Here is a 13,929-nt window from a genome sequence, read left to right on the forward strand (position 1 = left end):
TGTCTTTCATCAGAAACACATAAAAAAGAAGGTGTGTACTGATGATCTACTGACAAAAATGTGACTAGAGGCTCACAGGAACCTAACCGTGTGTTTTCCTCTAGGAGCAAAGGTTCAGGATTTGCTAGTTCAACGTTTGTAGCAATAAAAATAATCTATTATACCACATTTTGTTTATTCATTCATCAGTTGATGGATTTGTGACCTGTTTTCACTTTTTGGCTATTATAAATAAAGCCACTATAAACATTTGTTTACTGGTTTTTATGTGGACACGTTTTCATTTCTCTCACTGCGCCCAGCAATGAATACATTTATTTTATGGCAAAACTAAAAGTTTGTCAAACACCCAAATTCAGTATGATAAGTTAGCTTTTTATAGGATACTGACAGGTTATTGTGGGTACTCCAATCTTGTTCAGCAAGGCCAAATTTTCAAAAAAAAAAATGTAGATTTATTACAATAAGGGAAATATATATCTTAAGCTATATTTCCATGTGTTCTATGAAGACAACTCTGAGAGGAAGTTAGCAGTTTGTGTGGTTGGAAGCCTCAGAAAGTTCTCCTACTTCTATCTCTTACTCACCTGGCTTGCATTGCAATATTTAGGGTAAGAGTCACAAGCATACTCGGGTGCATTTGAATGATGGTCTAAGCAGATCTCTACACCTGTCGTTATCTGGGTTTGTGATCATTCCAGTGTTTCCTAAGTTTATAGGATGAATTGGCAGTAAGTGACTTTTGTTCCAGTCCTCAGCTGCATTATAAAGACAATACAAGACTATGCTGAAATAGCTATTTGGTAAAGTTTTGTAAACCCAGAAGCCTTTTTAAAAAGTATTGTTCTTCTTAATCTCTTAATTATAGTTTTTTAAAATCACATATCACTTAATTTTGTGTGTGTATTTTTGTTTGTTTGTTTTTTGAGATGGAGTCTCACTACATCACCCAGGCTGGAGTGCAGTGGTGTAGTCCCGGCTCACTGCAACCTCTGCCTCCCAGGTTCAAGTGATTCTCCTGCCTCAGCCTCCTGAGTAGCTGGGATTACAGGGCTGTGCCACCAGGCCCGACTGATTTTTTTTTTTTTTTTTTTTTTGAGATGAATTCTTGTTCTGTCGCCCGGGTTGGAGTGCAGTGGCGTGATCTTGGCCCACTGCAACCACTGCCTTCCGGGTTCAAGCAGTTCTCCTGCCTCAGCCTCCCAAGTAGCTGGTATCACAGATGCGTGCCACTACGTCCAACTGATTTTTGTATTTTTAGTAGAGACAGGGTTTCGCCATGTTGGCCAGGCTGGTCTCAAACTCCTGACCTCAGATGATCTGCATGTCTCAGGCTCCCAAAATGCTGGGATTATGGGAGTGAGCCACCTCACCCAGCCCTAAGTCTTATTGTTTTTTCTTTTCTTTTCTTTTTTTTTTGTTGTATTTTTAGTAGAGACAGCGTTTTGCCTTGTTAACCAGTTTAGTCTCGAATGCCTGACCTCAGGTGATCTGCCTGTCTTGGCCTCCCAAAATGCTAGGATTAGAGGTGTCAGCCTCCACTCCCAGCCTGATTTGTATATATTTTATGTTTGTTTTATTTTCTTTTTTTTCTTTGCTGTATTATTATTATTTTGAGATGGAGTCTTGCTGTGTTGTCAAGGCTGGTCTCCAACTTCTGGGCTCAAGCAGTCTTCCCACCTCAGTCAGCTGAACAGTTGGGATTGCAGGCTCATGCCACTATACCTGGCTGAAGTGTTGGTTTTTCTTTTCTTTTTGTAGAGACAAGGCCTCACTCCATTGTCCAGGCTGGTCTCAAACTCCTGGGTTCAAGCAGTCCTCCCACCTCAGCCTCCCCAGTAACTGGGATTACAGGCTCTTGCCTCTATACCTGGCTCAAGGGTTTGTTTTCTGATTCTTCAAAGTTTACTTCTCTCAGATCTGGAGACTGTGATATGTATAAGACAAGTTTCCCATGTCTTAAGAAACTTGATAGCTAGTAAGAGAGGTAAGGCCTGTGAACTCAGGTAACTAAGCAAGACAGAAAGACAGATGAAGATGAGGACATATGAGTAGAATAAAGGAAGTGATCAGTAAAGGTTGCATGTGGAAAATGTTGTCTGAATCAGTCGAAGAATTGCCTTCAACATGACCTAGAGAAGAGCAGATCATGACCGAAATCCAGACCTTTTCACTGGCTTGATTGTTTGGTGGGCTATTTTTCTCTCTTTTTTGAATCAGAGGATCCCAGATGAGGGCTTTATTATCAGCCTTTGACTGAAGTCTCAGTTATATTCTTGTTCCCAGCCCATGCGTGTGGAATCAGGGATATGACTTACATGCCCTTTTAAGCTGCTCTGTACCTTTTTGCCAGTTATATATACATGTAACTATGTTAACCTGCCTTAAATGTCCACTCGTGTGTGTGTGTGTGTGTGCGTGTGTGGTGTAGTGACGGGATCTCACCATGTTGTCCAGGCTGGTCTTGAACTCCTGGGCTCAAGCAATCTGCCCACTTTGGCCTCCAAAGTGTTGGGATTACAGGCGTAAGCCACTGCACCCGGCCTAAAATGTCAACTCTTGGTTGAGAATGAAGGCTAATTTGCCTAAGAACCAACTTAATCCATCTGTTCCAGCCAGTACCAAGTTTTGGGCTCGTGATGCCACCAATTGGCTGGTGTGAGGAAGTGTTTAACCTTTTTCTTTTCCTTTTGGGAGTTTGCACTACGCGTGGACCAGTTTGTTTGTTTTTTTTGTTTGTTTGTTTTTTTGAGACGGAGTCTTGTTCTGTCGCCCAGGCTGGAGTGCAGTGGCGCAATCTCAGTTCACTGCAAGCTCCGCCTACCGGGTTTACGCCATTCTCCTGCCTCAGCCTCCCGAGTAGCTGGGACTACAGGTGCCTGCCACCATGCCCGGCTAATTTTTTGTATTTTTAGTAGAGAGGGGGTTTCACTGTGTTAGCCAGGATGGTCTTGATCTCCTGACCTCGTGATCCGCCCACCTCGGCCTCCCAAAGTGCTAGGATTACAGGCGTGAGCCACCGCGCCCAGTGCACCAGTTATTTTTACCTTACGACATTTTCTCACAGATTCATGTTCTCCTTTGGTAACCTTCCATCAAGCCTCTTTCAACTCTGGTTTAACTAGTGCAGGAGCTCTTTCCATCCCTCTTTCCTTTACTTTGTTCTCTTTGTAAGTTACAAAAGAGACAAGCCAGGCATGGTGGCTCGCGCCTGTAATCCCAGCATTTTGGGAGGCCAAGGCTGAGGCAGGTGAATCTCTTGAGCCCAGGAGTTTGAGACCAGTCTGAGCAACAAAAAATGCAAAACGTTAGCTGGGCATGGTGATGTGCCACACCTCAGGAGGCTGAGATGGGAGGATTGCTTGAGACCCTGTCTTTAAAAAAACAAACAAAAAAAAACTAGGCATAAGATTACTTCTAGTGTCTTGTATCAAGAAAGAAGAAAGCAGTTATATATATATATATATATATATATATATATATATATATTTCTTTTTTTTTTTTTAATGAGATGGAGTTTTGCTCTTGTTACACAGGCTGGAGTGCAGTGGTGCAATCTGGGCACACTACAACCTCCCCTTCCTGGGTTCAATTGATTCTCCTGCCTCAGCCTCCCAAGTAGCTGGGATTATAGGTGTGCGCCATCACACCTGGATAATTTTTTTGTATTTTTAGTGGCCACAGTGTTGCACCATGTTGGCCAGGCTGGTCTCAAAGTCCTGCACTAAGGTGATCCACCTGCCTCGGCCTTCCAAAGTGCTGGGATTACAGGCATGAGCCACCTCGCCTGGCCTATTTTATTTTATTTTTTAATAGAGATCAGGTCTCCCTGTGTTGTCCAGGCTGGTCTCGAACTTTTGGACTCAGGTGATCCTCCTGCCATGGCCTCTGAAAGTGCTGGGATTACAGGCATGAGCTATCACACCCAGCCTCTTTGTTTCTCTTTTGTATCTTGTTCAATCTCTGAATCTCCTTAAGGCTGGCTTCACCTCTGGTGGCAAAATGACTAAAGCTACATGTCCTTATACCTCACTGTCATAATGAGAGCATGAGAGGCAATGCTTGGCATTCCACGTAGGAGTCCAGCAAAATAGCCTGATTGAACCAGCTTTTAGGTCTGATGCCCATTGTTTGTTTTTTTTGAAACAGAGTCTCACTCCGTTGCCCAGGCTGGAGTGCAGTGGCACAATCTTGGCTCACTGCAACCTCTGCCTCCCGGGTTCATGCAATTCTCCTGCTTCAGCCCCCCAGGTAGCTGGGATTACAGCCATGCGCAGCCACACCAGCTAATTTTTGTATTTTTTGTAAAGACGGGGTTTCACTATGTTGGCCAGGCTGGTCTCGGATCACCTTAAGTGATCCGCCCACCTCCACCTCCCAAAGTGCTGGGATTACAGGCGTGAGCCACTGCACCAGCCCACATGCCCATTCTTGATCCACTTGTAGGAAGCACTATAAAAGCACATGAACAAAGTGCGGTGCGTGTTCCATGAAAATAAAGATGGCGCCAGGCGCGGTGGCTCACACCTGTAATCCCAGCACTTTGGGAGGCCGAGGCGGGCGGATCATTTGAGGTCAGGAGTTTGAGATCAGCTTCACCTACGTAGTGAAACCCCATCTCTACTAAAATACAAAAATTAGCCGGGTGTGGTGGCAGGCGCCTGTAATCGCAGCTCCTGTAATCCAGGCCGTGGCAGGAGAATTGCTTGAACCTAGGAGGCGGAGGTTGCAGTGAGCCGAGATCACGCCATTGCACTCCAACCTGGGCAACAGAGCAAGACTCCGTCTCTAAATAAATAAACAAACAAACAAACAAGGCTTCTAGTTGCAGTAGGAGGGACGAATTGAGAGCAAGGGTTTAAGGACTAAATGCAGGGTGCAGTACAGTGTCAGTGTCAGTGTGCAGTGCTCAGGAAATATTTGTTGAAGGGGAAGAGTATGCTTCTTCAGTCCAAGGTGGAAGCATGAAGGAAACTGTAAGCACATTGATCTAGACCACAGTTTCAGGTACAGAGGGGAGCGTTAACTAAAGCTCAGAGCGGGGAAAGCACAGGGTGCTTACAAAATGGCAAATGCTGTCATTTAGGCCAGAATCCTACTCACACTGCTGCTGTATATCCTCTTCATCTGTGTTTAGGATTTTGAAATGCATTTTTGTTGGATTATTGCCCCACTAGAAAAAACAGTTCAGATCTGTTGCAGTTTCACATTTGAAACTACTTTCATTCTGGAATCCTTATCCTTAGACCTTCCTAATAATTTCTGTGGTCACACTGGACCTGATCTCTTCCTGTGCTAAACAAAAGCACACAATCACAAAACTGTGTAGGCATAAATGAGAGGCATATGGGAGTGGTGTAAAAGGAACTGGAAGAGTCTTAATATGCCTGGGTGGGCGAGCTAAACTAATAGCTCCCAGCAGTTTTTCTGAATCAGACATTGTGGAGCCAGGAGTCTAGCATTTGGAATTCCACTGCCTGTGCAAAGGGTCTGTCTTTTATCCTCCAAACCACCATTTGTTAACTGGTTAATGACCCAGTGGACCCGTTGACAACAAAGGAGGGAAAGCTGGTAAAGATCAAGTTAAAAGGAAAAAGAAAAGTTCAAAGGTAGGAAAGTAAGAACAAGAAGGGTTTAATCATATCTTCACCTACTCTTTATTTTTTAACAATTTATTGTGGGGAATTTTGAACATACACAAAGTAGATGGAGTAATGTAGTGACCTCCCATGAACCTATCCCCTCAGCCCCAATAAGCTGCAGTTACCAGACTTAATGAAAGGAAACCAGAACTCTGGTGAGGCTTAGGTTTGGTTTCCAGACCTCTCTAGGCCTTGTCACCTTTGGCCTTATCCCATCAAACACCTCTTTTCCCCATTTTTAGCTCCTGGTGTGCACAGAACACTGCGTTTAGGCTAGTGATGAGTATGACAGTACTTAACCTCTAATAGATTAAGGAAATAACTGTTATTGTTCAAGTATGGTTTTGAGAGCAGAAAAGTGTAATTCTGTCAAAGGTACACAACGAAGAGGGAACTTAGGAAGGCATTATTGAGAAGTTGACATTTGAGTTTACAGCAGAAACGTTGGGCAAGGGGTAGGGAATGATCTCTGAGATAGCAGCATACCCGATCTACTAGCTCTTTTTCACCAGGCTATTTAGAGTTTGACATTTATGTTACATTTATAACAAGGTACATTTCAAGTGTAGCTTTCCTTTTTGCTTTAAGCAACTGAGACATGTAAGTCAATTTCAGTTATTTTCTGCTAAACTGTGTGTCTCTTTGAATGTTCACTATCAAGGTGAATTATACAAGGTGTGTTAGATCCTTTTAACATTTCAGAGCAACCAAAACCAAGTTTGAATGTCTCATTTAACACTGTGAGAGGATGTATCTTGTCTGCATCTTGTGTTTCAGTTGTATTTATCGGTAAAATAAGCCAGGGGAGTATTCTGACTTGCAGTTTAAAAGCTGACAGGCCTAGGGGAATGTTCCACAAAATAGTATATTTTGTATATGGCATGGTATTATAGATAAATGAGCTATTGTGCTGCCTGGCACTGTCTTCTCCCTTGTGCTGTCTTCTGCTGTTTCTCAAGGAGTGATTCCTCTCTGTGTTTTGGAACCGTGTTTCTCACTGCCTACAGATGATGTCCATTTGGCTTATTTCACTGTCATCTCATACACAGCTGTTTCAAACTGCATGGAATCCTCAGAGAACTACACGCCCCTTCCTGAACAAACAGTGCTTCTTCCTGCATTTTCTTCTTAAACTTTTATCACTTTTCCCCCCTTACATATACTTTTGTTTTATTCTTTCACTAAAAAAAAAATGAGGTTTAATTGACTTACAATAAACTACACATATGTAAAGTGTACAGTTTGCTCAGGTTTGGCAGGTATACCTGTGAAATGATCACTGCAATCAAGATAGTCAACATATCATTCACTCCATAAAGTATCCTTGTGCCCATTGGTAATCTCTCCCTCCCATGCTCCCCCTGCCCTGTCTCCAAGCAAACACTAATCTGCTTTCAGTCACTATAGATTAGTGTGCATTTTATAGAATTTTATGTATATATGTTTTATATAGATGAAATCATACAATATGCACTCCTTTCCTTCCATCCTTTCTTCCTTTTTAGGTCTGGTTTCTTTCATCCAGCATAATTATTTTAAGATGTATGTATCAGTAGTTTATTCCATTTTATTGTTGAGTAGTATTCTGTTGTATGGATATATCACATTTGTTTATTTGCCTGTGGATAGATGTTTGAGTTGTTTCCAGTCTTTGGCTATTGCAAATAAAGCTTCTTTGAACATTCATATATAAATGTTTATATGGACATATGCTTGCTTTTGTCTTTTCTTTTTTAAAAAAAAAAGCACAGATGGGAACCGGGCGTGGTGGCTCATGCCTGTAATCCCAGCACTTTGTGAGGCTGAGGTGGGCGGATCACCTGAATGTTAGGAGTTCAAGACCAGCTTGGCCAACATGGTGAAACTCCGTCTCTACTAAAAATACAGCAGTTAGCCTTGCATGGTGGTGTGTGCCTGTAATTCCAGCTACTCAGGAGGGTGAGGCTGGAGAACCGCTTGAACCCTGGAAGTGGAGGTTGCATTGAGCCGAGGTTTCAGTGAGCCGAGATCACGCCAGTGCTCTCCAGCCTGGGTGACAGAGCGAGACTCCATCTCAGAAACAACAACAACAGCAACAACAAATAGAGATGGGGTTCGAGCCCAGGCTAGTCTTGAACTCCTGGGCTCTAGTGATACTCCTGCCTTGGCCTCCCAGACAAAGTGTTGGGATTACAGGTGTTAAACCACTGTGCCCAGACTCTTTTTCCTTTGTAAATACATAGGAATGGTGTGGTTGCATCATATGTTTTAACTATTTAAGAAATTGCCAAACTTTTTCTAAAATATTTTCAAGTACTTACCATCTATATATCTTCTTTGGTGAAATGTCTGTTTAAATCTTTTACCCATTTAAAAAAATTACATTGTTTATTTTCTTGCTGTTGAGGTTTTTGTTTGTTTGTTTGAGACAGTCTCACTCTGTTGCCCAGGCTGGAGTACAGTTGTGCGATCCCAGCTCGCTGCAGCCTCCACCTCCTGGGTTCAAGTGATCCTGAACTTCCTGAGTAGCTGGGACTACAGGCACGCGCCACCACGCCCGGCTAATTTTTGTATTTTTAGTAGAGACGAGGTTTCACCATGTTGGCCAGGCTGGTCTTGAACTCCTGGCCTCAAGTGATCCGTCCACCTCGGCCTCCCAAAGTGCTGAGATTATAGGCATGATCCATTGCCCCCAGCCTGTTGAGGTTTTTTTTTAAATCAGGTATATAATCAGGTATATGCTTTGCAAATATTTTCTCCCAGCGTATTACTTGTCTATTTTCTTAACAGTTTCTTTCAAAGAATAGAGTTAAAAAGATTTTTTGTATCTTTTTAGCTTTTTTTTTTTTTTTTTTTTTGAGCAGTCAGAACACACACAGCATTTATTGGAAGTTTTCCATCTTATATGGGCACAGTTTGTGGCTCCCCAAAACAATTAGAATAGTAATATCAAAGATCACTGATCACAGATCACCATAACAGATATAATAATAATGAGAAACTGTGAAATGTCGCAAAAATTACCAAAATGTGATCCAGAGACAGGAAGTGAGTGCATGCTGTTGGACAAATGGCACTGATAGATTTGCTTGACACAGGGTTGCCAGAAACCTTCCATTTGTTAAAAAATGCAATATTTGTGAAGTACAATAAAGTGAAACACAGTAAAATGAGGTGTGCTGGGCATCCTGCCATTTATGCACATGCCTCTTTAGGTAGAAAATAATCCTGTAAAAGTTGAGGCTGTGGTTGCCTTTCTGAGAATCTTGTCTACAGAAATGGTCAACTGGTGGCCAGCTAGCCAAAGGGCTAATCTAGCCCACAGACATGTTTAGTTGGGGCTACATAGAGCTTTTTACAAATTTGAGTCAATATTTAGAAAATAAAAGTCTGGATTTTGGGATTCCCTTACAAAAACTGGAAAATTTGGCCACACTGGGTCATATTCCCACATAGTCGTGGTGGTTGGGGTTCAGTAGCAGTAGCTGCTGCCCCTTAAGACAGGTCCCCATGGTCCCCACTCAGTTGCTTCCTTATTTATCTTACAAGCCTGGCAAGGAATTTGAGTTGAACTGATCTAGAAGATTGGTGCTAAGAACCAGCTCAGTGGCTTAGCTGTCCTGGGGTCTGCAGGAGAAGGCTTCTTTGTTAGGCCCAGGCAGGAAGTCTGGGCATGGATTGAGTTTTATTTTTATTTTTTTATTTTTTCTTTTTTTTTTTGACCTTTTAAATATTTATTTATTTTATTTTATTTTATTTATTTATTTATTTTTAATTGATCATTCTTGGGTGTTTCTCGCAGAGGGGGAGTTGGCAGGGTCATAGGACAATAGTGGAGGGAAGGTCAGCAGATAAACAAGTGAACAAAGGTCTCTGGTTTTCCTAGGCAGAGGACCCTGCGGCCTTCCGCAGTGTTTGTGTCCCTGGGTACTTGAGATTAGGGAGTGGTGATGATTCTTAACGAGCATGCTGCCTTCAAGCATCTGTTTAACGAAGCACATCTTGCACCGCCCTTAATCCATTTAAGCCTGAGTGGACACAGCACATGTTTCAGAGAGCACAGGGTTGGGGGTAAGGTCACCGATCAACAGGATCCCAAGGCAGAAGAATTTTTCTTGGTACAGAACAAAATGAAAAGTCTCACATGTCTACTTCTTTCTACACAGACACGGCAACCATCCGATTTCCCAATCTTTTCCCCACCTTTCCCCCCTTTCTATTCCACAAAACCGCCATTGTCATCCCGGCCCATTCTCAATGAGCTGTTGGGTACACCTCCCAGACGGGGTGGTGGCCGGGCAGAGGGGCTCCTCACATCCCAGTAGGGGCGGCCGGGCAGAGGCGCCCCTCATCTCCCAGACGGGGCGGCTGGCCGGGCGGGGGGCTGACCCCCCCCACCTCCCTCCCAGACGGGGCGGCTGGCCGGGCAGAGGGGCTCCTCACTTCCCAGTAGGGGCGGCCGGGCAGAGGCGCCCCTCACCTCCCGGACAGGGTGGCTGGCCGGGCGGGGGGCTGACCCCCCCACCTCCCTCCCGGACGGGGCGGCTGGCCTGGCGGGGGCTGACCCCCACCTCCCTCCCGGACGGGGTGGCTGCTGGGTGGAGACACTCCTCACTTCCCAGACGGGGTGGCTGCCGGGCGTAGGGGCTCCTCACTTCTCAGACGGGGCGGCTGCCGGGCGGAGGGGCTCCTCACTTCTCAGACGGGGCGGTTGCCAGGCGGAGGGTCTCCTCACTTCTCAGATGGGGCGGCCGGGCAGAGACGCTCCTCACCTCCCAGACGGGGTCGCAGCCGGGTGCTCTCACATCCCAGACGGGGCGGCGGGGCAGAGGCGCTCCCCACATCTCAGGCGATGGGCGGCCGGGCAGAGACGCTCCTTACTTCCTAGATGGGATGGCGGCCGGGAAGAGGCGCTCCTCACTTCCTAGATGGGATGGCGGCTGGGCAGAGACGCTCCTCACTTCCTAGACGGGATGGCGGCCGGGAAGAGGCGCTCCTCACTTCCTAGATGGGATGGCGGCCGGGCAGAGACGCTCCTCACTTCCTAGACGGGATGGCGGCCGGGAAGAGGCGCTCCTCACTTTCCAGACTGGGCAGCCAGGCAGAGGGGCTCCTCACGTCCCAGACGATGGGCGGCCAGGCAGAGATGCTCCTCACTTCCTAGACGGGGTGGTGGCCGGGCAGAGGCTGCAATCTCGGCACTTTGGGAGGCCAAGGCAGGCGGCTGGGAGGTGGAGGTTGTAGCGAGCCGAGATCACGCCACTGCATTCAGCCTGGGCACCATTGAGCACTGAGTGAACCAGACTCCGTCTGCAATCCCGGCACCTCGCGAGGCCGAGGCTGGCGGATCACTCGCGGTTAGGAGCTGGAGACCAGCCCGGCCAACACAGCGAAACCCCGTCTCCACCAAAAAAGTAAGAAAACCAGTCAGGCGTGGCAGCGCGCGCCTGCAATCGCAGGCACTCGGCAGGCTGAGGCAGTAGAATCAGGCAGGGAGGTTGCAGTGAGCCGAGATGGCAGCAGTACAGTCCAGCTTCGGCTGGGCATCAGAGGGAGACCGTGGAAAGAGAGGAAGAGGGAGACCGTGGGCCGTGGTGAGAGTGAGAGGGAGAGGGAGAGCTCTTTTTAGCTTTTATAGCTTTTGTTGTGTCTAAGGAATCTTTGCCTAACCCGAGTTCACAAAGATTTTCTTGTATGTTTTTTTCTGGAATTTCTGTAGTTTTTAGATTTACATGTAGATCTAATATTTTAATACATGGTATGAGATATTAAGGATCCAAGTTCAGTTTTTTGCATATGAATATCCAGCTGTTTTAGTACCAGTTGTTGAAAGGACTATCATTCCTCTACCGGATTGTCCTTGTACCTTTGTCAAAAATCAGTTGTTTATATATCTGTGGGTCTGTTTCTGGACTCTGTTCCATTGATATGTTTACCTTATCTTTATGCCTGTACCACACTGTTTTACTATAACTTGAAGTGAGGCAGTTTTAGTCCTCTAGCTATATTCGTTTTCAAAGTTGTTTTAGGTAATCTAGGTTCTTTGCATTTCCAAATAAATTCTAGAATTAGCTTCTCAATTTCTTAAAAAAAAAAAAAAGCACGTTGGGATTTTGATTGGGACTACATTGAATCTGTTTGGGGGAAGAGCTGACGTCTTAACAGTTTAGGAGAGATACAAATTAACAAATTAAATTAGTGATTTTATTTTAATTAATGTTTCTCAGTAGTATTTTTGTGTTTTTCCTGTACAGGTTTTATGTCTTTTGTCAAATTTTTCTCTTAATATTTCACAATTTTTGATACTGTTTTAATTTTTTCAGAATTTCAGTATTTGGTCATTGCTACTCTATAGACATGAAGTTGATTTTTGTGTATTGATCTTGTATCCTGCAACTTGGCTAAATTCACTTATTTTAATAGCTTTTTGGGGAGATTCCATTGGATTTTCTTTTTTCTTTTTCCTTTTTTTTTTGAGATGGAGTCCTGCTTTCTCACCCAGACTGGAGTGCAGTGGCCCAATCTCGGCTCACTGCAACCTCTGCATCCTGGGTTCAAGCAATTCTACTGCCTCAGCTTCCTGAGTAGCTGGGATTGCAGTTGCCTGCCACCAGGCCTGGCTAATTGTATTTTTAGTAGAGACAAGGTTTTACCATGTTGCCTAGGCTAGTCTTGAACTGACCTCAGGTAATCCACCCACCTCGGCCTCCCAAAGTGCTGGGATTACAGGCATGAGCCACCGTCCCTGGCCTCCGTTGGATTTTCTGTACATCATTTGCAAATAAGGACAATTTTACTTCTTTCCAATTATCACTTGTTTTACTTATTTACTTATTATCAGTATTTTCTGTGTTGTCACTGCTTCAGAGATTCTGTCCTTTTCAATTTTCTTTTGTTATCTTCTTGGTCTTAGATATTATCATATTGTTGTTTGTTTTTTTTTTTTAATTAGTTAATGGCTTTCTGTGAGGTATTCTCTCAGTCTATGTTGTCTTCAGAAAACACTGGTTTCATTTTGTTCAGGGCCATATCATAATTCCTAGCTACCAATTACATGAAGTTCCAACTTATTTATTCCTCCACATTGGGATCAAATATTTCTTCCTGTCAATAATTGGCATTTCTGTTTACCATTGCAACTTATTCTAGCCTAGGTCCCACTTAAAATTATAGTTGGGGAGAGAGCATCAGAGTTGAGGTTCGGAAATTTGGTTTGAATTCCCATTTTGCTGCTTAGTGTCTGTATAATCTTGGGCAAGTTTTTTAACTGTTAGGCCTGTTTGCTTATCTGTAGGAAGAGAGTAACACAAGAACTTTACAATATGTCATGTGAATTGAAAGAGAGAACATAGAAATCATAGCCATGTGCCTGCAACACAGTGTGGGTAGTCTGTAAATATTTAGTCTGGCACTAGTGTGAGCACCAAGTGAAGGAATGAATGCTTGTTTGCATATCCTATTTCTGCACTGTTGCTTATGCTGTTCTCCAATCTCTTTTCAGGCCCTCTGCATCTTCCTCATGTTTCGAGGTCAATGAAGCCCATCTTTATTACTCATTTCCTATCATTGTTTACATCCCTGTTGAGTTGATATCTTACTAAACTTAGGGACTGGGAGTATATCTTTGGAAAATATTTGTTTTCCTCAAAATGCCTACCATAAATGTATTATAGGTCCCTAAAATAATTGGTTGATTGTATAGTTAATTTGGAAGCAGTGCATCAAAATACTTTGTAGGGTGACAGCGAAGTAAGGTTTTTTTTGTTTTTTGTGTTTTTTTTTTTTTTGGTAGAAGACAGTCTTTGTCTGTCACTCAGGCTGGAGTGCAATGGCATGATCACAGCTTACTTCAGCCTCAAACTCCTAGGCTCAAGCAATCCTCCCACCTCAGCATCCTGAGTAGCTGGGACTATAGGTGCGTACCACCATGCCTGGATAATTTTTTTTTTTAATTTTTATTTATTGTAGAGATGCAGTCTTGCTATATTGGCTGGGCTGGTTTCCCAAAGGCCTCCTCAAGTGCTGGGATTATTGGTGTGAGCCACCATGTCTGGCCTGTTTGTTTTTTGGTCAGATTTAGGTTTTAGGAGTGAAGTAAGTTGAATTTTACATGCTACAGTGGAAGTGGCAGAAATGTTTTTGTTTGATTAAAAGTAGCTTTAAGAGAACAGTAATTAACTTTTTAATTTTGGCCATCAAACAAGGAGGGTTGCTCATAAAACAGAATGGGAGTTTGGTAACTATAAACCATTTATTAAATGTTTTTTAAAAATCACATTGTTTCAACATTGAATGTGGTAGAATATTC

General features: G+C 43.9%; 1 protein-coding gene across 1 annotated transcript in view, besides 5 other annotated features; it reads left to right on the forward strand.

Annotated features, from left to right (window-relative positions):
- The window catches only part of CBFA2T2 (CBFA2/RUNX1 partner transcriptional co-repressor 2), a 159,935-nt gene that overhangs the window by 36,198 nt on the left and 109,808 nt on the right, over window positions 1-13,929 (forward strand). The gene's annotated exons all lie outside the window — the stretch shown is intronic.
- Window positions 1,821-2,321: an enhancer, noted in NCBI's record as "H3K4me1 hESC enhancer chr20:32115920-32116420 (GRCh37/hg19 assembly coordinates)". NCBI's record gives its function as "activates a minimal SCP1, AML or CMV promoter by ChIP-STARR-seq in naive H9 embryonic stem cells {active_cell/tissue: H9 hESC(naive)}" and the evidence as "EXISTENCE:reporter gene assay evidence [ECO:0000049][PMID:30033119]".
- Window positions 2,322-2,822: an enhancer, noted in NCBI's record as "H3K4me1 hESC enhancer chr20:32116421-32116921 (GRCh37/hg19 assembly coordinates)". NCBI's record gives its function as "activates a minimal SCP1, AML or CMV promoter by ChIP-STARR-seq in naive H9 embryonic stem cells {active_cell/tissue: H9 hESC(naive)}" and the evidence as "EXISTENCE:reporter gene assay evidence [ECO:0000049][PMID:30033119]".
- Window positions 4,578-5,078: an enhancer, noted in NCBI's record as "H3K27ac hESC enhancer chr20:32118677-32119177 (GRCh37/hg19 assembly coordinates)". NCBI's record gives its function as "activates a minimal SCP1, AML or CMV promoter by ChIP-STARR-seq in naive H9 embryonic stem cells {active_cell/tissue: H9 hESC(naive)}" and the evidence as "EXISTENCE:reporter gene assay evidence [ECO:0000049][PMID:30033119]".
- Window positions 7,606-8,105: an enhancer, noted in NCBI's record as "H3K4me1 hESC enhancer chr20:32121705-32122204 (GRCh37/hg19 assembly coordinates)". NCBI's record gives its function as "activates a minimal SCP1, AML or CMV promoter by ChIP-STARR-seq in naive H9 embryonic stem cells {active_cell/tissue: H9 hESC(naive)}" and the evidence as "EXISTENCE:reporter gene assay evidence [ECO:0000049][PMID:30033119]".
- Window positions 10,002-10,720: an enhancer, noted in NCBI's record as "H3K27ac hESC enhancer chr20:32124101-32124819 (GRCh37/hg19 assembly coordinates)". NCBI's record gives its function as "activates a minimal SCP1, AML or CMV promoter by ChIP-STARR-seq in primed H9 embryonic stem cells {active_cell/tissue: H9 hESC(primed)}" and the evidence as "EXISTENCE:reporter gene assay evidence [ECO:0000049][PMID:30033119]".

The sequence above is a fragment of the Homo sapiens genome, chromosome 20 (genome assembly GCF_000001405.40).
Source record: "Homo sapiens chromosome 20, GRCh38.p14 Primary Assembly".
Classification (NCBI taxonomy): Eukaryota; Metazoa; Chordata; class Mammalia; order Primates; family Hominidae; genus Homo; species Homo sapiens.